The sequence below is a fragment of the Homo sapiens genome, chromosome 13, assembly GCF_000001405.40.
Source record: "Homo sapiens chromosome 13, GRCh38.p14 Primary Assembly".
NCBI lineage: Eukaryota > Metazoa > Chordata > Mammalia > Primates > Hominidae > Homo > Homo sapiens.
In genome coordinates, this window is record NC_000013.11 from 73641695 (window position 1) to 73663358 (window position 21664).

Consider the following 21664-nt stretch of genomic DNA (forward strand, 5'->3'; position numbering starts at 1 on the left):
TGGAGCTGAAAACCAAGGCTCGAGAACTACGTGAAGAATGCAGAAGCCTCAGGAGCCGATGTGATCAACTGGAAGAAAGGGTATCAGCGATGGAAGATGGAATGAATGAAATGAAGCGAGAAGGGAAGTTTAGAGAAAAAAGAATACAAAGAAATGAGCAAAGCCTCCAAGAAATATGGGACTATGTGAAAAGACCAAATCTACGTCTGATTGGTGTACCTGAAAGTGATGGGGAGAATGGAACCAAGTTGGAAAACACTCTGCAGGATATTATCCAGGAGAACTTCCCCAATCTAGCAAGGCAGGCCAACGTTCAGATTCAGGAAATACAGAGAACGCCACAAAGATACTCCTCGAGAAGAGCAACTCCAAGACACATAATTGTCAGATTCACCAAAGTTGAAATGAAGGAAAAAATGTTAAGGGCAGCCAGAGAGAAAGGTCGGGTTACCCTCAAAGGGAAGCCCATCAGACTAACAGTGGATCTCTCGGCAGAAACCCTACAAGCCAGAAGAGAGTGGGGGCCAATATTCAACATTCTTAAAGACAAGAATTTTCAACCCACAATTTCATATCCAGCCAAACTAAGCTTCATAAGTGAAGGAGAAATAAAATACTTTACAGACAAGCAAATGCTGAGAGATTTTGTCACCACCAGGCCTGCCCTAAAAGAGCTCCTGAAGGAAGCGCTAAACATGGAAAGGAACAACCAGTACCAGCCGCTGCAAAATCATGCCAAAATGTAAAGACCATCAAGACTAGGAAGAAACTGCATCAACTAACGAGCAAAATAACCAGCTAACATCATAATGACAGGATCAAATTCACACATAACAATATTAACTTTAAATGTAAATGGACTAAATGCTCCAATTAAAAGACACAGACTGGCAAATTGGATAAAGAGTCAAGATCCATCAGTGTGCTGTATTCAGGAAACCCATCTCATGTGCAGAGACACACATAGGCTCAAAATAAAAGGATGGAGGAAGATCTACCAAGCAAATGGAAAACAAAAAAAGGCAGGGGTTGTAATCCTAGTCTCTGATAAAACAGACTTTAAACCAACAAAGATCAAAAGAGACAAAGAAGGCCATTACATAATGGTAAAGGGATCAATTCAACAAGAAGAGCTAACTATCCTAAATATATATGCACCCAATACAGGAGCACCAAGATTCATAAAGCAAGTCCTGAGTGACCTACAAAGAGACTTAGACTCCCACACATTAATAATGGAAAACTTTAACACCCCACCGTCAGCATTAGACAGATCAACGAGACAGAAAGTCAACAAGGATACCCAGGAATTGAACTCAGCTCTGCACCAAGTGGACCTAATAGACATCTACAGAACTCTCCACCCCAAATCAACAGAATATACATTTTTTTCAGCACCACACCACACCTATTCCAAAATTGACCACATACTGGGAAGTAAAGCTCTCCTCAGCAAATGTAAAAGAACAGACATTATAACAAACTATCTCTCAGACCACAGTGCAATCAAACTAGAACTCAGAATTAAGAATCTCACTCAAAACTGCTCAACTACGTGGAAACTGAACAACCTGCTCCTGAATGACTACTGGGTACATAACGAAATCAAGGCAGAAAATAAAGATGTTCTTTGAAACCAACGAGAACAAAGACACAACATACCAGAATCTCTGGGACACATTCAAAGCAGTGTGTAGAGGGAAATTTATAGCACTAAATGCCCACAAGAGAAAGCAGGAAAGATCCAAAATTGACACCCTAACATCACAATTAAAAGAACTAGAAAAGCAAGAGCAAACACATTCAAAAGCTAGCAGAAGGCAAGAAATAACTAAAATCAGAGCAGAACTGAAGGAAATAGAGACACAAAAAACCCTTCAAAAAATTAATGAATCCAGGACCTGGTTTTTTGAAAGGATCAACAAAATTGATAGACCACTAGCAAGACTAATAAAGAAAAAAAGAGAGAAGAATCTAATAGACGCAATAAAAAATGATAAAGGGGATATCACCACTGATCCCACAGAAATACAAACTACCATCAGAGAATACTACAAACACCTCTACGCAAATAAACTAGAAAATCTAGAAGAAATGGATAAATTCCTCGACACATACATTCTCCCAAGACTAAACAAGGAAGAAGTTGAATATCTGAATAGACCAATAACAGGATCTGAAATCGTGGCAATAATCAATAGCTTACCAACCAAAAAGAGTCCAGGACCAGATGGATTCACAGCTGAATTCTACCAGAGGTACAAGGAGGAACTGGTACCATTCCTTCTGAAACTATTCCAATTGATAGAAAAAGAGGGAATCCTCCCTAACTCATTTTATGAGGCCAGGATCATTCTGATACCAAACCCAGGCAGAGACACAACAAAAAAAGAGAATTTTAGACCAATATCCTTGATGAAAATTGATGCAAAAATCCTCAATAAAATACTGGCAAAACGAATCCAGCAGCACATCAAAAAGCTTATCCACCATGATCAAGTGGGCTTCATCCTTGGGATGCAAGGCTGGTTCAATATACACAAATCAATAAATGTAATCCAACATATAAACAGAGCCAAAGACAAAAACCACATGATTATCTCAATAGATGCAGAAAAAGCCTTTGACAAAATTCAACAACCCTTCATGCTAAAAACTCTCAATAAATTAGGTATTGATGGGACGTATTTCAAAATAATAAGAGGTATCTATGACAAACCCACAGCCAATATCATACTGAATGGGCAAAAACTGGAAGCATTCCCTTTGAAAACTGGCACAAGACAGGGATGCCCTCTCTCACCACTCCTATTCAACATAGTGTTGGAAATTCTGGCCAGGGCAAGCAGGCAGGAGAAGGAAATAAAGGGTATTCAATTAGGAAAAGAGGAAGTCAAATTGTCCCTGTTTGCAGACGACATGATTGTATATCTAGAAAACCCCATTGTCTCAGCCCAAAATCTCCTTAAGCTGATAAGCAACTTCTGCAAAGTCTCATGATACAAAATCAATGTGCAAACATCACAAGCATTCTTATACACCAGCAACAGACAAACAGAGAACCAAATCATGAGTGAACTCCCATTCACAATGGCTTCAAAGAGAATAAAATACCTAGGAATCCAACTTACAAGGGATGTGAAGGACCTCTTCAAGGAGAACTACAAACCACTGCTCAAGAAAATAAAAGAGGATATAAACAAATGGAAGAACATTCCATGCTCATGGGTAGGAAGAATCAATATCGTGAAAATGGCCATACTGCCCAAGGTAATTTAGAGATTCAATGCCATCCCCAACAAGCTACCAATGCCTTTCTTCACAGAATTGGAAAAAACTACTTTAAAGTTCATATGGAACCAAAAAAGAGCCCGCATCGCCAAGTCAATCCTAAGCCAAAAGAACAAAGCTGGAGGCATCACACTACCTGATTTCAAACTATACTACAAGGCTACAGTAACCAAAACAGCATGGTACTGGTACCAAAACAGAGATAGAGACCAATGGAACAGAAGAGAGCCCTCAGAAATAACGCCACATATCTACAACTATCTGATCTTTGACAAACCTGAGAAAAACAAGCAATGGGGAAAGGATTCCCTATTTAATAAATGGTGCTGGGAAAACTGGCTAGCCATATGTAGAAAGCTGAAACTGGATCCATTCCTTACACCTTATACAAAAATTAATTCAAGATGGATTAAAGACTTAAACGTTAGACCTAAAACCATAAAAACCCTAGAAGAAAACCTAGGCATTACCATTCAGGACATAGGCATGGGCAAGGACTTCATGTCTAAAACACCAAAAGCAATGGCAACAAAAGCCAAAATTGACAAATGGGATCTAATTAAACTAAACAGCTTCTGCACAGCAAGAGAAACTACCATCAGAGTGAACAGGCAACCTACAAAATGGGAGAAAATTTTCACAACCTACTCATCTGACAAAGGGCTACTATCCAGAATCTACAATGAACTCAAACAAATTTACAAGAAAAAAACAAACAACCCCATCAAAAAGTGGGCGAAGGACATGAACAGACACTTCTCAAAAGAAGACATTTATGCAGCCAAAAAACACATGAAAAAAATGCTCATCATCACTGGCCATCAGAGAAATGCAAATCAAAACCACAATGAGATACCATCTCACACCAGTTAGAATGGCAATCATTAAAAAGTCAGGAAACAACAGGTGCTGGAGAGGATGTGGAGAAATAGGAACACTTTTACACTGTTGGTGGGACTGTAAACTAGTTCAACCATTGTGGAAGTCAGTGTGGCGATTCCTCAGGGATCTAGAACTGGAAATACCATTTGACCCAGCCATCCCATTACTGGGTATATACCCAAAGGACTATAAATCATGCTGCTATAAAGACACATGCACACGTATATTTATTGCGGCATTATTCACAATAGCAAAGACTTGGAACCAACCCAAATGTCCAACAATGATAGACTGGATTAAGAAAATATGGCACATATACACCATGGAATACTATGCAGCCATAAAAAATGATGAGTTCATGTCCTTTGTAGGGACATGGATGAAATTGGAAATCATCATTCTCAGTAAACTATGGCAAGAACAAAAAACCAAACACTGCATGTTCTCACTCATAGGTGGGAATTGAACAATGAGATCACATGGACACAGGAAGGGGAATATCACACTCTGGGGACTGTTGTGGGGTGGGGGGAGGGGGGAGGGATAGCATTGGGAGATATACCTAATGCTAGATGACGAGTTAGTAGGTGCAGTGCACCAGCATGGCACATGTATACATATGTAACTAACCTGCACAATGTGCACATGTACCCTAAAACTTAAAGTATAATTAAAAAAAAAAAAAAAAGAAATTTGATCCCCAATATTGGAGGTGGGGCCTGGTGGGAGGTGTTTGGGTCATGAGGGTGGATCCCTCATGAATGTCTTGGTGACATTCTCATGGCAATGAGTTCTCACTTTATTGGTTCTCATGAGCTGGTTGTTTAAAAGGGTCTGGCAGCTTCCTCCTCTCTCTCTTCCTCTCTCATCATGTGACCTCTGTACACACCAGTTTCCCTTTGCCTTCTACCATGAATGGAAGCAGCCTGAGGGCCTCACAAGAAGCCAAGCAGATGCCGGCACCATGCTTCTTATACAGCCTGTGGAACTGTGAGCCAAATAAACTTCTTTTTAAATAAATTGCCCAGCCACAGGTATTCCTTTATAGCAACACAAACGGACTAAGACAAGCTCCCTCAAAGCCACCTCCAATAATTTTAAGGAGCCTACAAGGGTGTCTCATAGGGATTAACAAGGCTTCTCAACTAGGATACGGCATCTCCCATTTTCTCCCTTTCGTGCTTCTGACAATGTCAACTGCTGGGTCCTCTCAGTGCTACTACTAGCAGAGTTGTTTGAATTTGATTCAAGACTGTCACTGGTATTTAGACCCACATGGAAACCACAGCTTACCAAATGGTCCTCTCACTGTTCCTGACTGTGGAGTGGGTTGACCCACTGCCAGGAACCATGACCGTGCCTGAAGCTGGCCACTAGAAATGTTCGTATTAGACCAAGTTTGCAATGGCCAATGAGTAAATGAAAGGTACAGTACTGCATGTTGATATGCTGAGTCTTGGGCTCTGAACTCTAATGCTGACCTCTAATGAACTGGACAGGACAATGCAGAAGATTCCTTTTCCTTAAACTAGGAAAGTATAAACATTATGCTAAGTGAAAGAAGCCAGACATAAAAGGCCATATATTATAGGATTCCATTTATATGAAATGTCCAGAATAGGCAAATCCATAGAGGCATAAAGTAGATTAGTTGTTGCCAGGACCTGGGGATAGGGAGAATTGAGAGGTGACTGCTTGTGGGTAAGGGGCTTCTTTTTGTAGCGATGGAAATGTTCTAGAATTACATAGTGACAATGATTGCACAATACAGTGAATATACTAAAAACCACAACATTGTATACTTTTAAATGGTAAATTTTGTTACGTGAATTATATGTCAATAAAAAGAGTTTAAAATTAAATAAATAAAAAGCTCTGGTTTGGCGAGCATAATAGCCCACACCTGTAATCTCAGCACTTTGGGAGGCCGGGGTGGGCAGATCACTTGAGGTCAGGAGTTTGAGACCAGCCTGGCCAACATGGCGAAACTCCGTCTCTACTAAAAATACAAACATTAGCCAGGCATGATGGCATGCACCTGTAGTCTTAGCTACTCAGGAGGCTGAGGTATGAGAATCGCTTGAACCCAGGAGGGAGAGGTTGCAGTGAGCCAAGATTGCGCCACTGCACTTCAACCTGGGTGACAGAGCGAGACCCTGTCTCAGAAAAAAAAAAAAAAACTTTGGTTCAGAGCAAGCCATCAAAGGTATTTTGTTGTTCTTCACTTTGCCCGCTACCCCTAAACTCAGCAAAGACTCAGCTTTACCCCAATAATAGAAGGAAAGGCTAGAATCACGTCCTTCTGTCAGAATCAGGGAACAATGAAATCAAAGAAAATAAACAGTAACAACTCACAGGAAGCAGAATTAAAAAGCACAGGTTTGCTTCCAGTGTCCAAGACCAAGGTGGTCCAGGCTGGGCAGGAGCAGAAGTCTTGACTTGACTTCCAAATGGGAGGAAGAGAAGACTCCAACAGAGAGGAAGCCAGAATGAAAGCCAGATCATAAGAGCCTGCACCCTCACACAAGTGAGCAGGCCTGGCCCTCACCTGGAAGGAATAGAGACAAGAAGGATGTCTGAATGTGTTTGGCAATGCTTGTCCCTTAGAAGATATATTCTACTCAATGCCTTGTGATTAGGCAGATCCAAACCAAAATCTCTCCTCATGGAGGCAGAATATAGGAAGGAAGAAGGCAGAGATGACTTACATTTCTCAGAGTCAAAATACATGTTCTCAACTTCGAGTAAGATCAATGAAGAATACCTATGGAAAAACAAAAGGTAAAGAAATTGGGACAAACATAAAACTTACCTCCGGTATTTTCTATTATCCTCTAACCATTCTCTGTATTCAGAAAACTACTATGCCTGACTCCTGTATCAGGAAAAGTTGTTAGCTAAGAAAGCTCTGTTCTGAGTAAAAATCTATGCCCTGAGGGAAACTGATGGGATTCAGGATATATACAATGTACAAGAAAAAATATATAACAAGTCTCCAGCTCACTCCACCCCATTACTCTTCCACTAAATACTGAGTTGGAGGGAAGGAGTACAAATGGAAAGGAAAGGAGAAAAATGTAGATGCTGGCTGGTCCCTGAAAAGGACCCTAAGTTCTATCCCATTCCACTTATGAGGCACACGAGGAATGACAGAGACTTCAGAAGGATTTTGGAAAACCTAGAAAAGAGAACTGAGCTCCATTTTATAGGTTTTCTCCAGAAGATGTCTCCGAACTCTAGAAATGGCTTCCTCCTGTGTCTGGGCAGTTAGGTTCTTAGCTTCACTGTATCCCACACCCCACCATGTCTTGGAAGAAGTTGCTTGGTTCCAGGAGCAGCACACGTGTGCCTCTCAGGGCCAGTAGAAGAGAGGATCCTGCAGAAAGGGGCCTGTGTAGGCCAATGATAAGAGAACCAGAGGGGACAACTGATATCTAAGGGAATATAACCTTCAATAGACGATCAATACTCAGTCCTCATTTTACTCAAATTGCCAACATCATTGATTACAGCTTGGCATTCCTTTCCTCTTCTTCTTTTTTTTTTTTTAGATGGAGTCTTACTCTGTCGCCCAGGCTGGAGTGCAGTGGTGTGGTCTCGGCTCACTGCAACTTCCGCCTCCTGGGTTCAAGCAATTCTCCCACCTCAGCCTCCTGAATAGTTGGGAGTACAGGTGTGCACCACCATACCTGGCTAATTTTTTGTATTTTTGGTAGAGATGGGGTTTCACTATGTTGGCCAAGCTGGTCTCGAACTCCTGACCTCAGGTGATCTGCCCTCCTCGGCCTCCCAAAGTGCTGGGATTATAGGCGTGAGACACCACACCTGGCCCCTTTCTTCTTTGAGGTACTTTCTTCACCGGGTTTCTAGTTCTCCACATGTTCTGGTTCTCCTCATACTTCCCTAATCTCATCTTCTCAGTCTGAAAAGGTTCTCAGTCATGAAAACTTCCTCTTCTATTCTATCTAGAAAGCCCCAGGACTCAGTCTTCCCCTTCCTTCTCTTGTCTAGCTGGATATCTACACTTATTCCTATGTACTAAGCTATTCGTATGGCTCAAATGTCACCATATCAGAGAGGCTTCTGTAAACTGACCTATCTGAAATAGTAGCCCCCACCTGAATTCCCCTGTCTCCATACACTCTGAGCTATTTTTCTTTTCATTCACACATACATATTTAATTTTGTGGGCACATGGTAGGTATATATATTTATAGGTTACATGAGATATTTTGATACATGCATGCAATGCATAGTCATCACATTAGGGTAAACAGGGTATCCATCCTCTCAAGCGTTTATCCTTCGTTACATATAATCCAGTTATACTATTTTAGTGGTTTTAAAATGTACAATTATTTTTGACTGCAGTCACCCTGTTGTGCTAGCAAACACTAGGTCTTATTCTTTCTAACTACTTTTAGTACCCACTAACCATCGCCACATCCCCCACACTCCTACAATTTTTCCCAGCCTCTGATAATCATCCTTCTACTCTGTATCTCCATGAGTTCAATTGTTTTGATTCTTAGATTCCACAAATAAGTAAGAATATGCAACGTTTGTCTTTCTGTGCCTGGCTTATTTCACTTAACATAATAACCTCCAGCTCCATCCATGTTGTTGCAGATGGCAGGATCTCATTCTTTTTTATGGCTGAATAGTACTCCATTGTGTATATAGTGAGTTATTTTTCTTCATAGCATTTATTACCATCTAATAGCATGTACATATATATTTATACATGTAAATATATATGTGTGTGTGTGTGTGTGTGTGTGTGTGTGTGTGTATATATATTTGTTTCTGTGAAAGCACAAATTTTGTGTTTATTGCTGTAGATCAGGACCTAAAGTGGTGCCTGTCACATTATAAGTGCTTAATGAATATTTCTTGAGTGAGTAAATGAAGGAATCATGTCAGAGGACCCAAACACTTCTCCTCTGAATTCTGGAAAAAAAAAGATGGAATACAACTGATTTCCCACTATTCCTGGTAAAAAGGAACTTACATTAGAATTAAAACCAAGAAAGATCTCTGGCAAATGTGAGGTTGTGGCTTTCTAATCACAAAGAAAATTAAAGCTTAGTTGAAAGACATTTCTATAATACCAAATAGTTCCCAACTTTTTACTTTTAAAGTTCTAATATACCTATTCCCAAAAGCTTTCATCTGAATAGTGGCTAATTCTAAAATAAAATTGGGTAGTGGGAGGAGGGAGGAATCCCGTACAGACTTGGCAATTTTCTGATGAAGATGTGTAGTTTGAGAAACGCTTAATGATTTTTGAGACATCTTGCTACACTGCCTGAGGACAGTGGTTTCAGTGTTGTAAGATATCAAGTAAAAATAAAGGCACAATTAAAATATTTCAAAGTGTACAAGAAAAAAGAGAAAAAGAAATAGATGCTGGCTTAAAAAAAATAAAATTAGCCTGTAATCCCAGCACTTTGGGAGGCTGAGGCAGAAGGACTGCTTGAGCCCAGGAGTTCAAGACCAGCCTGAGCAACATAGAGGGATACCATCTCTCCAAAAATAAAAAAATAAAAAAGCCGGACATAGCGGCACACACTTGTAATCTAGGTACTTGGGAGGACAAGGCTGAGGCAGGAGAACCACTTGAGCCTGGGAGGCTGCAATGAGCTGTGATCTCACCAAAGCACTCCAGACTGGGCAATAGAGTGAGACCCTATTTCAGAAAAAAAAAGAAGAAAATTATTATGGCACTGAACAAGAAATTTCATATAATGGAGAGTTAATTCCTTTATGAAATGATTTTAAGAGGAAAAAAAGGAAAACAGCATTGGTATTAGTCTGTTATTGCACTACTATAAAGAAATACCTGAGACTGGGTAATTTATAAAGAGGTTTAATTGGCCTATGGTTCTGTAGGCTGTACAGGAAGCACAAATGCTGGCATCTGCTTGGCTTCTGGGGAAGCCTCAGGAAACTTACAATCGTGGTGGAGGGCGAAGTGGGAGTTACCACTTCACATGGCCGTAGCAGGAAGAAGAGAGGGAGGGGACAAGTGCTACACACTTTTAAACAAACCAGATATCATGAGAATTCACTCACCATCATGAGAACAGCACCAAGGGGATGGCGCTAAACCACTCATGAAGGATCCACCCCCATGATCCAATCACCTCCCACTAAGGCCCAACTCCAACATACAGGATTGCAACTGAACATGAGATTTGGGTGAGGACACAGATCCAAACCATATCAGCATCAAAAGAAGGTGGAAGTAAGAATAAATAAAGTCCACATATGGGTAAAGTTTTAATTTTAGCATGATGATGAAAGAATAAAGAAGAAATGTACATATTCATTTAATAAGTGTTTATACATCATCTACTCAGGCTCAACAGTGGGGCCAGTGCTGAGGAAACTGAGGTGCCCTCAGAGGGGTAACAATCTCACTGGGAAGGCAGACAGGTCCACAGATAATGACAATATAATATTGGGTATATATATATATATATATATGTATTTGTGTGTGTGTGTGTGTGTGTGTGTGTGTGTGTGTGTGTGTGTGTGTGTGTGTATGCACACTGTCAGTAGTATCCATCCCAGCCTTGGGAAGAAATGGATCTTGAACTTACCAGCAGAAGCTTCCCTGAAGTTAGAATACCTAGGGACAAGGAGAAGTAGCCCAACAAAAAAGGGGTGGTTAACATAGGCTGTGGATGGAGAAAAGTGGTCCACAGTACTCAACTTGGCACAAAGACCCTTTGACAAGAGAAAGTAAATTATTTGGTAGCAGAAATTTCAGTAGAGGAGCAGGCTCCTGGCCAGTCTGACACCACGGCTGAATTTCTCCTGCTGGCTGCCTGACTGCCTCCCACACCCTCAGCTGCTCTGTTTGATGGCAAATGGGAAAAAGATGAATATGCCCAGTCTTCTGACTTGAGGAGTGTTGTTGGGGTTGGTGGGGTGAAGGGTTACAAAAAGACAGAAGGAAGTATTAGGAACAGATAGATATTGGCTGTACAATCTATTTGGGATTCCTGGGGACTGGATGTGACACGTGACTTCAAGGGATGGAGGTTTAGGGGAAATCACAGGGCCCACCTAAATAAGAAAGGTAGTGTGGATACTTATCATGGTTCAAGCCAGGAAATGCTTTTGTTAGGCAAACTGAGGTTTTCCATGTAGAGGGCCTAAAGCTACAGTAGTGTAGGGAATATTCGATACTCTCAGAGGGTGTGGCATCCCCCCTCTCAGAGTGGGAAATGTAGGAGTGGACACAGTTGCCCCCTCAGCTCCCGACTATGGGCTTCCTGGATCCTCCTCCAAGCCATTCTGAGAATAATGCCTGGGAAAGGTACAGAAAGGGACCCTTTCATGGACATCCCCCTCTTTGTTTCTTGGGCAGGTGATGTCACTACGCAATAATGTTTAAATACACATGGATGTGTATTTGAATGGCTGCGACTTACAAGATTAAGAATCAATTAAATCTAAGCAAGTTCATCAAAATGAGGGACAATAATATTGCAACTGGAATAATGGAGGAAGTGTATAGTTCCTGGGAGTCCACTTTAAAGGGGAGGAAGGCACAAAGAGAATCGGGAAAATAGCAATAAACCAATGGAAACCTAATGGGGGGGACTTGGAAGTTACTATAGAAAATAGGGCATGTGTCTGGGCCCTATTACACATAATCACACTTGTAATGCCAGCACTTTAGGAGGCTGAAGGAGAGGGAATGCTTGAGTCCAGAAGTTCGAGACCACCCTAGGCAACATAGCAAGACCCCATCTCTACAAAAATTAGCCAGGCATGGTGGTGCACTCCTGTAGTCCTAACTACTCAGGAGGATTGCTTGAGCCCAGGAATTTGAGGCTGCAGTGAGCTATGATCATACCACTGCAATCCAGACTGGGTAACAGAGTGAGACCTTATCTATAAAAAAAGAAAGAAAAGAAAAGAAAGTAGGGCAAGTCCATCAAGCCTTTTCTGCCACCAGATGTCCACCAGGACATGTTTTATGGCCCTATAGAGTGAGAGGCAAACAGAAGCAGGTTTTTGTGCTTACAATAGAAGAACGAGGATTTGGAATGATGTATATAGGATTGTTTTATAGTTTAATGAGCCTCTCTTTCAGCTTTGAGGAAATAATGACAATTGTGTAGCGATAGTGGAGAAAAGATTTTTTCATGCATAAGAGCAAGATGTGAAAAAAGATACTAACTATGCTACTTCTCTGCCTTTGCTCTCTGAAACCCATATCTCCAGGCAAAACCCCTCTCCTGAATCCATACCCACAGAACCAGCCATGACCAGAGACTTCCACCTGGAGGTCACACAGCGTGATAGAATCCATAATCATCTCACTATTTTCTTGCTCACCCTTATGGCTCTTTTCCTGTGTTTCCTCCCAGAAAATACCACGATTACCTAGTTGTGTAGGCTGGAAACATAAAAACCATTGCTGTCTGACCTGTTCAATCACCACAGCCAGTCAACACCCAAGTGCTTTTCAACAGTCACTTAATGCTTATATCAGACTTAGAGAGTTCATCATTTTATAACTATTTTAAACATGAAAAAATTGAGGTTGGGAAAGTTTCAAGGTTCAAGTTACGTATGTAAGGATGGCCAAGCTAGTTATGATAAATGAATCACGGCACATGCAAAAAAGCTTCCATCATACTAAGATTAAAAGCCAAAAAAAAAAAAAAAAAAAAAAAAAAAAAAAAAGTCCTGTAAATGACTTGCAAAGCCCTCTAAGAACCAGCCCTGGTTCTTAGAGGGCTTGTCTCCTCTTCTCATATGAGCTTCTCATAGCTCCTCTTCTCAAGCTATGAGGAGTCTTCTCACAGCTTGTCTCCTATGTCTATCACCCTCCTCCTCCCTGTTCTAGAGTCTAACCATTTTGCTGCTCCAGTGAATTACACTGAAGCTTATGGCTTGGCACCTGCCAGCTCCTCTTCCCAGAAATGTCTCCTTGCTATGTCCCCGAGGCTGCTCACTCACCATTTCTTGTTTGTGTCACCACATTAGAAATACACACTCTAAATGTCCTCCTAAGAGAGAGGCTCCTACCTGGTGCTCCTAAATGTATTACTCTCCAGAGCACTCATTACCACCGAACGTCGATGCTGAGCACAGAATCATGTCTACTTTGTATCTCTAGCACCTAGAACATTCATTGCTATGGAGTTGACATTTTATAAATATTTGACAAACGTGTATTCATGCTAGCAAATGCCTCCTAGCTCCATCCCGTCTTCTCCATTCCCACTGTTCTGCCTTGGCTCAGGTCATCTCAGCTTACCAGTCTCTGGTTACTCAAATTCAATATTCATTGTTATCTAATCTTTACACTATGCCAAAGTTACCTTCCTATTATACACATGTCATGCATTTGCCTCTTCAGAGACCTTCAAAAGCCTCCACTGCCTATGGTAAAATCTGCATTTCATACTGTAGAATTCTTAGTCCTTTATCACTTTACCCTTCATTGCCTTTACAAAAAATTCCCACCAGCATTATTTTGTGATAGACACATCAAGCAGCTCACCAGTCTGCAAATATCACCGATGTTCAGATTTTTCACATTCTCTACCTACTGAAATTCTTCAAAAACCAGGACAAATGTTACCACCAGAAGAAGGACTTACGGGATAGTACTTGAAGAAAAGGAAGGAAAGAAAAAGAGTAAGTGTCCTGATCTCAGCGCAACTAAAAACTAGCCTGATGATGTGAGGATTGGAAAAAAAATATGGAAGAGGAAATAGGAAGCAGCCTAGGAACACAGTGACCATGACAGTAGTGATGTTGAAAGAAAGCAGTGTTCAGCCAGGCGCGGTGGCTCATGCCTGTAATCTCAGCACTTTGGGAGGCTGAGGAGGGCAGATCACCTGAGGTTGGGAGTTTGAGACCATCCTGACCAACATGGAGAGAACCCATCTACTAAAAATACAAAATTAGCCAGGCGTGGTGGTGCATGCCTATAATCCCAGCTACTCGGGAGGCTGAGGCAGGAGAATTGCTTGAACCCGGGAGGCGGAGGTTGCGGTAAGCCAAGATTGCGCCATGGCATTCCGGCCTGGGATGAAGAGAGACTCTGTCTAAAAATAAAAATAAAAAAGAAAGAAAGCAGTGTTCATTGGCTGTAAACTTTGTAGTTGCATTTGGTATTAGAATAATTGCTTATTTTTTCCACCTTGTTTCAAAAGGTTTAACGTTTATAATAATAGCTGTAGTTTCTCGAGTGGAACATATTCTGGTTCACGTACTAAGCTAAAATGCTTTGCATGCATTAACTTATTTAATATTCACAACTCAATGGGGAAGGTCATATCATCTTTCAGTAGAGAAGAGTGAAGTTTCAATGACTCACTCAACAGTACAACATGTAATGAAAAAATTAGTTTTTGGACCCAAGAAAATCTGAATTCATGTCTCATGCTCTTTTCTTTTGTACCACCTGACACTCTTGAAATTTGGAGGAGTGTCCTGAATAGTTCCTTTTCCTTCCCTTTCTTTTCTGGCAAGGCCATCACATCTACGGCTACACATGTTTAAATTATTATACTATACTACTAGTGTACTAGTACTATAGTAATATAAACATACTAGTAGCATGTTTTAAATTACTATACTATACTATATTACAAGGTATAGAGCCTTAAAGCCAGGCAGGTACCAGTTTTTACAATGACTGCCTGTGATTCTCTCCTTTTAAACACTCCTTTCTTCACTCAGAGTTGGTTTTAGTTCTCCTCTGTTAGCAAAAAAAAGAAATATCTGCTCTTCAGCACTGTATTCATAATACCTAACCTTTAAAGCAAAAACTCTGAAATATATACCTAGTAAAATGATTTACACGTAGGGGATGGAATATAATGAGGCCATTAGGTGAATGAGCTTTGGTGTCAGTATGCCTGTGTTCAAATCCCAGCTGTGCTATGTACTTGCTTTGAGATACAGACTAATTTTCTTCACCTTTCTAAGCCTCAGTTTCCCCATCTACAAATTAGGGACCATAATAGCACTTGTCTTACAGGGCTGTATGGATAAGTGGCAGCTGTTGGTACAGGTAGTAATAATAGTAATACTAGCAATACTACTTGTAAAACAAATGAAGTAGGGAGTTCATCTGGAAACTCCTTTCCTTCACTAAGATTCAGTCATTTCTGACTATGCTTGGTGAACTGATGATGTTATCTTAAGGAATTTATAGAGAGAAAAAGCTCACAATAAAGGAATGAGTCAGGTGGATGAGTGTATTCGTCCATTAATGTTGCTTTAAAGAAATATCCGAGGCTGGGTAATTTATAAAGAAAAGAGGTTTCTTTTGGCTCACATTTCTGCAGGCTGTATGAGAAGCATGGTGCCAGCATCTGCTTGTGTTGAGGGCCTCAGGAAGCTTACAGTCATGATGGAAGGCAAAGGGGGAGCCGATGTGTCACATGGTGAGAGGGAACAAGGGAGAGAGGGAGGAGGTGGCAGCCTCTTTTAAACAACTAGACCATGTATGAACTGGTAGAGTGAGAGCTCACTCATTATTATGAGGAGGGCACCACACCATTCATAAGGGATCCACCCCCATGACCCAAACACCTCCCAATAGGTCCCATCTCCAACTTTGGGGATCACATTTTGACAAACTATAAACCTCCAAACTATATCAACAGGCCTTAATCATTGGATGGGGCAACCTGAAGATGAATTTCTTATAAACTTAGATTTATCTTGAGTCAGTATTCCTCACAACTTTCAATCTATAGCCAATGAACTTGTGATTGGTGGGAGTGGTGGGCTATATGAAAAATCTAAAAAGAGAGTGTGTTTTCAAAATACTATGAGACACTGAGGCATGAGCAGTACTAGTAGCCAAGAGTAATGGGAAAAGGGAAGAATGGTTTTCTCCCAGCAGTGCTATAACACACTATGTAACTTTAGTGCCTCAAAGACTCCACTGCATCAGTGGTAAAGGAGCTAGTGTTAGCAAAAAAATCAAATACTCATGAGGAGAGCAGCATCTGGCAGATCTAGGGCACCCACTGAGCAGAGAGGAGGCTGGTGCAAAAAGAAAATATCTTTAAGTAGGAGGCAACTGAGAACAATGAGGTACTCTTTGGAGACTCTTAGAGATGGACTCTGAGGACTTTGCAGGAAGCTGGAGATCCTCAAATAGTGGGAGTATGAGTGGTGAAATGTTATTGGATAATAGCCAGGGAAACCTAGTCTAGCAAACTCCATGTGAAAGAACCTAAGCTAGCCCAGATGGTGGCGATTGTGAAAAAAAAAAAAAAAAAAAAAAAAAAAAAAAAAGCCACAAATTCCTTCTCATCCATTTGTAATACGACTTGCAGCTCCTCCCATCTGAGATGGAGTTTATTTTTTTCACTGCTTAAGCCTAGACTTGGCCATGTTACCCGCTTTGGCCAGTGGCACATTAGCAAACGTAATGAAGGGACTTGAAAAGTGCTTACAATGGAAATAGCCCTCTTCTGTTAATCTTGGAAACCCTGCAACAACCACCATGTGAAACAGCCTAGACTAGCTCAGTTGCTAGCCCCTGCCAATAACCAACAGGGAACCAAATTGTGAGTGAGGATGCTGGCTGCCAGCTGGCTACAAAAGCATTACTGAGCCCAGCCGCCACTAACTGCAACAGAGATGAGCTGTCGTAGCTGAACCCAGCCCAGCACAAATTGCAGACCCACCGAATTGTGAGCTAAATAAGGGTTGTTGTTTTAAATCCCTAACTTTGGGGTAATATTGACATCTATCTACCCATCCATTTCTTCTTTACCTTTTTCTCCAAAAGAATATGAGGTGGTTTACAGCAAAGGACTGAACACTCAGTAAAGTTAATATCATAGAAATAGTAAAAGATAGAGAAAGCATATATGTCAGTCCCAAGGTCTATGTGATTTTGGTTGATTGGTATTATATTCAACTCTGAACTTCCTGGAACCTAAAAAAAAAAAAGTGAACCATTTATATATGAGTTACATAAAGATAAGTCAACCATAAAGTTCTAGTTACTATGCTGTGTTAGCTTAGTAGGCTGCTATAACCATGTACTATAGGCTGGTGTTTAAATAATTTATTTCTCACAGTTCTGGGGGCTGGAGGTCTGAGAAGGGGTGCCAGCATGGTCAGTTTCTGGTGAGGGCCCTCTTCCTGGTTGTAGAGCACCAAGTTCTCACATTCTCACATGGTGGAAAGCGAGATTAGCTTCCAAAGGCTCCCCACCTCTTACTACCATCATATGGGGTGGTCTCACTCTGTCACCCAGGCTGAAGTGCAGTGGTGCCATCATGGCTCACTGCAGCCTGGACAACCCGGACTCAAGTGATCCTCACACCTCAGCCTCCCAAGTAGTAGGGACTATAGATGTGCACACCACACCCAGCTAATTTTTGAAATATTTTGTAGAGATGAGGTCTCACTAAGTTGCCCAGGCTGTTCTTAAACTCCTAGCCTCAAGTAATTCTCTCACCTCAGCCTCCCAAAGTGCTTGGATTAAAGGGGTGAGCCACCATGCCCAGCCAACATATGATTTCTAAGAGACACAAATATTCAGTCCATAACATAGTGGTAAGCACTTTATACACATTGCTCATTATTAACAGCTCTGTGAGCTAGACATTATTATTCCTATTTTGTGGATAAGGAAACTGAAGACAAGATATTTCTCTACTCAGCTAATACTTGGGGAACTAAAATTTGATTTGAGGACTGTTTAAATTTCTGATTCTAAAATCCATGCCCTTTCCAACTCACGACAACGATTCTCTAAAATTTTATATAGGGGACAATAAGAATACCCTGAATATCTGAAATGTCTCTTCTCTTCATACAATTCACTACTGCACTGTATGAAGTTCAGGATTTCAACATTTCCTACATAAACTGTTGGGCTCACCCTATAACCAGTTTGTCTCAGTCCAGTGTCATCCCTTCCTACCTATCTTCTAAACTTCTTCAGAAATGACCTTTGTATAATTAAAATACATATAATTGTGCCTAGCTCCTGAATAAAATTTTTCAATGACTCCCTATTATCTCGAAGATCACATACCTCTATCCATGTTTGGAATCTCATTTCCCGCTACTCACCACTCGGCTTTCTCTATTCTCCAGCCACACTGATCTACTTAACCATCCTTGAGTAGTCAACATTAGTGTGCCTTCATGCTCTGCATTCCAAATTCCTTTTATCATTCCTCATTGTCTGCGCCCTCTCAAGTCTTCCCACTTAATACTGCTTCTTCAAGACAGTTCAAACATGCCTGAACTTCCCAGGCTGATTTAGGCCACCCATGGCACCCTTAATGTGCTTCTATTAAAACTCTTACTATATATCACAGCATACTTTCTTGCATAAGAGTGTGTTTTATTCATCAGTTTGTCCCTAGCACTTAACTCAGTGCCTGGCATAGAGTACTCAATAGATATTTGTTAAGAGAAAAAGTAACTGTCTTCAACAACAGTATTCCCACAAATGTGCAGTCTCCATACAGCTGATTCGAAGAACCTCAATCCCTCTGAAAAGTCTGGGCCTAATTACATTAAATATAGAAGTGATCCTATGATCTCAAATGTATAGCCTTTCAAGATCAAATACAAAAAGAATAGACTTTAGAACACCTGGGTGGATAGAAGGAAGGATTGATTTATTCCTCAAAAGCTTTCAAAAGAAGGAAAAGAGGGTAGGAGGGAGAAAGGGAGGGAAGATGGATTCCTTTCAGCTTTGAGCACTTCCTCTGAACTGGTAAAGCCACCTTCGCCCCTTCAAGATCATCATGCTCCTCCACCCTACCCCGCAACGCTGCAAAGCTGCCTCTTCTGCTAGGGCCACTCTCCCAGGCAATTCTAATGCCACACTTTCCATTTAGAGTCACAACCCCTAGTGAGGTGCCACAGAGAATTGTGGAAGACATACAATTAAAGGGGAGAACAAAGAATTCAGGGAGAGATAGGGAATTGTGGGAAAGAATGGAGCCTTGTTGGAGAAAGCAGAGAATTCTGGGAAGAGCAAAGAGAACTGTGGGAGACCATAGAGGTTCACTGGATTATGGAGGATTGTGAGAGGGCACAGAAATTGTGGGAGGACATGGAGGACTGCAAGAGCAGGGAGGGTTGTGGAAGGGCAGAGAAGGCTGTGGGAGAGCACTGAGGATGGTGGGAGAAAACTGGATTATGGAAGAGAACGAGATTGTGGGAGAGCACAGGATTGTGGGAGGAAACAGAATTGTGGGTGAGAACAGAACACTGTGAGATAGTGAATTGTAGGAAAGAAAGTACGATGAGATAGAGAATTCACCCTGTGCTCTTCCACCCGCTTTTCTATTGGGTCCGCCCCTGTCAGGTCTGGCGGCGCCCTCACGGTCTGGCAGAGCCCTGCCCCTCTCTCCGAGGCCACACCATGTTTGCTCCTTCGTGACCACGTCCCCTCCTGCCCCACAACGCCTCTCCTGCTGGAGCCACATTTGCAGTTATTGATGGGCCTGCTGCTGTACTCCATCACAGTCACTAAGAATTGTGGGAGAGTCATGCAATTATGAGAGGGAACAGGGGCTTCTGGAAGACTGTGGAAGAAGCAGGGACTTTTTGGAGAGACAAAGGAATGTGGTAGACACATAAGTCAGTGGCCTTCTGTGTTTCGTGTGGTTCCTCCTGCGGAAGCCATATCTGGTCCATTATGACTACGCCCCTGTGCTCCGTCTGGGTCACCATCCCTCAAAGCCACCCACCCCTCTACAATCTGGCTTGGGCCATGACTTCACTAAGCCCCTGCGCTTCTTCATGGCAACGCCCTGAAACCAGGCCCTTTGGCTCCACAGAGCCACGCTTTTCCTGGCAGGGCCACAACTACCCACACCACCATGACCCTCTTTTCCAGGCCAAACCTCTGCGCTCTGCCTTGGCCCTACCACCACCACCAGGACAAAGCTGCTTTTGTTCTCCTTGTCACTCCTTACCTCCCATTGCATTCTCGTGGCCAGACTGGAGCCTCTGAGCTCAGCTGTGTGCAGGGTCCTGCTCCTAGGGCCGTACTCTCTGTGCTGTCGTAACAACGCCTTCTCTGACAGGCCACACCTCTGTGCTCCGCCTCCACCACTCCCCTACCCGCTGGGAGGGGGCAAATGTGCTTTGGCTTTAGCACATCCCCCTCAGGCACCCTCCATTTCTCTCCCTCCAAGGTCTCCTCCCTGACTGGCCCCTATGCTCTTCCATGTCACGCCTGTCCCCACAGCTACGCCCTATTCACTCTGATTGCTTCTCTAAATCGGCCACGCCCCCTCCCTAATTTCTGCCTCGCTTCTCTTCACCTGGGCCGTCCACTTCCCTTTGCCCAGACCTCGCCCAGGCACTTCACCTGCCGCTTGCAATGGGCCATGACCACGCCCATCCTGTCCCAGCCAAGCTGGGGGCTGTATTTCTCTGCACCTCTGCTACATGTGGGCCACGCCCCATTTTCGGAAACCCAGGATGTGGGATTTGGGAGATTGGGGTTAAACCCGCCCTGCCCCTAGAGTTTGGCTCCAGTGGCATTTGTAAAAAATGAGGCTTATGGAGCCATGATCCTCATCGAAAAAAAACTTTCTTTAGGGTTTCTCCCAGCTCCAAACGCCCCTACTTGAAGGATGACCCAGTGATGCAGTGAGGAAAGTGAGGAAACAGCTGGTGGATGAGTCGTTGAAACATATTCCTTCCAGCCAATTTTCATGTCTGATTTTCTTCCAGCCAGGTTTCCTGTCCTCGAACCCAACCTTTGGGCTGTGTTTCTTCTCAGCCGACCTTAAATCTATGCACCTGAATGGAGAAAGAACACTCCTCCACTTCCTAATGTCTCCTCCCAGTGACCTTTCCTAGGCACCCAGTTCCCTCTTGCTATCTAGGGACTGGCAAGACACCACCACACTTAGAGCAATTCTCTGGTTGGCAGCCCTCTGCTCTGAAAGTACTCTGCTATTCTTATTCCTTCCATTGACAACTCTTGAGTTCACAAGAAAAAGGAGAAGAGGTTATAACTAGCTCTCTTCCTTGTTCAGAAATCTCTGAACAGACCTTCCTGGGGAGAGGACACTTTCCATTAGCCAGTCAGTTATTCATTCAAAACCATATTTATCAAGTACTGTGCATGTTCTGGGGACTAATAAGAGAAGCTTCAAGAAGCTTATAGCCTAAAGTTGCTGACTTGCATTTTTGGTTTTGTTTTGTTTTCTTTTGGTTTTCTTTTCTTTTTTTTTTTTTTTTTTTGACAGAGTCTCGCTCTGTCACCCAGGCTGGAGTGCATGGCGCGATCTCAGCTCACTGCACCTCCATCTCCCGGTTCAAGCGATTCTCGTGCCTCAGCCTCCCGAGTAGCTGGGATTACAGGTGCGAGCCACCACGCCCCGCTAATTTTTGTATTTTTAGTAGAGAGGGGGGTTTCACCATGTTGGTCAGGATGGTCTCAATCTCCTGACCTCAAGTGATCTGCCCGCCTTGGCCTCCCAAACTGCTAGGATTATAGGCA

General features: G+C 42.3%; 1 long non-coding RNA gene across 1 annotated transcript in view; it reads right to left on the bottom strand.

Annotated features, from left to right (window-relative positions):
• LINC00393 (long intergenic non-protein coding RNA 393) overlaps positions 1 to 20209 on the bottom strand; it is a 116003-nt gene extending 95794 nt beyond the window's left edge. The window contains exons 1-2 of the long non-coding RNA NR_184171.1: positions 20124 to 20209; positions 6882 to 6937 (exon numbers count right to left, since the gene is read on the bottom strand). This is a non-coding gene — a long non-coding RNA (long intergenic non-protein coding RNA 393). The remainder of the gene's footprint in view (positions 1 to 6881; positions 6938 to 20123) is intronic.
• Positions 20210 to 21664: the final 1455 nt, after the last annotated feature.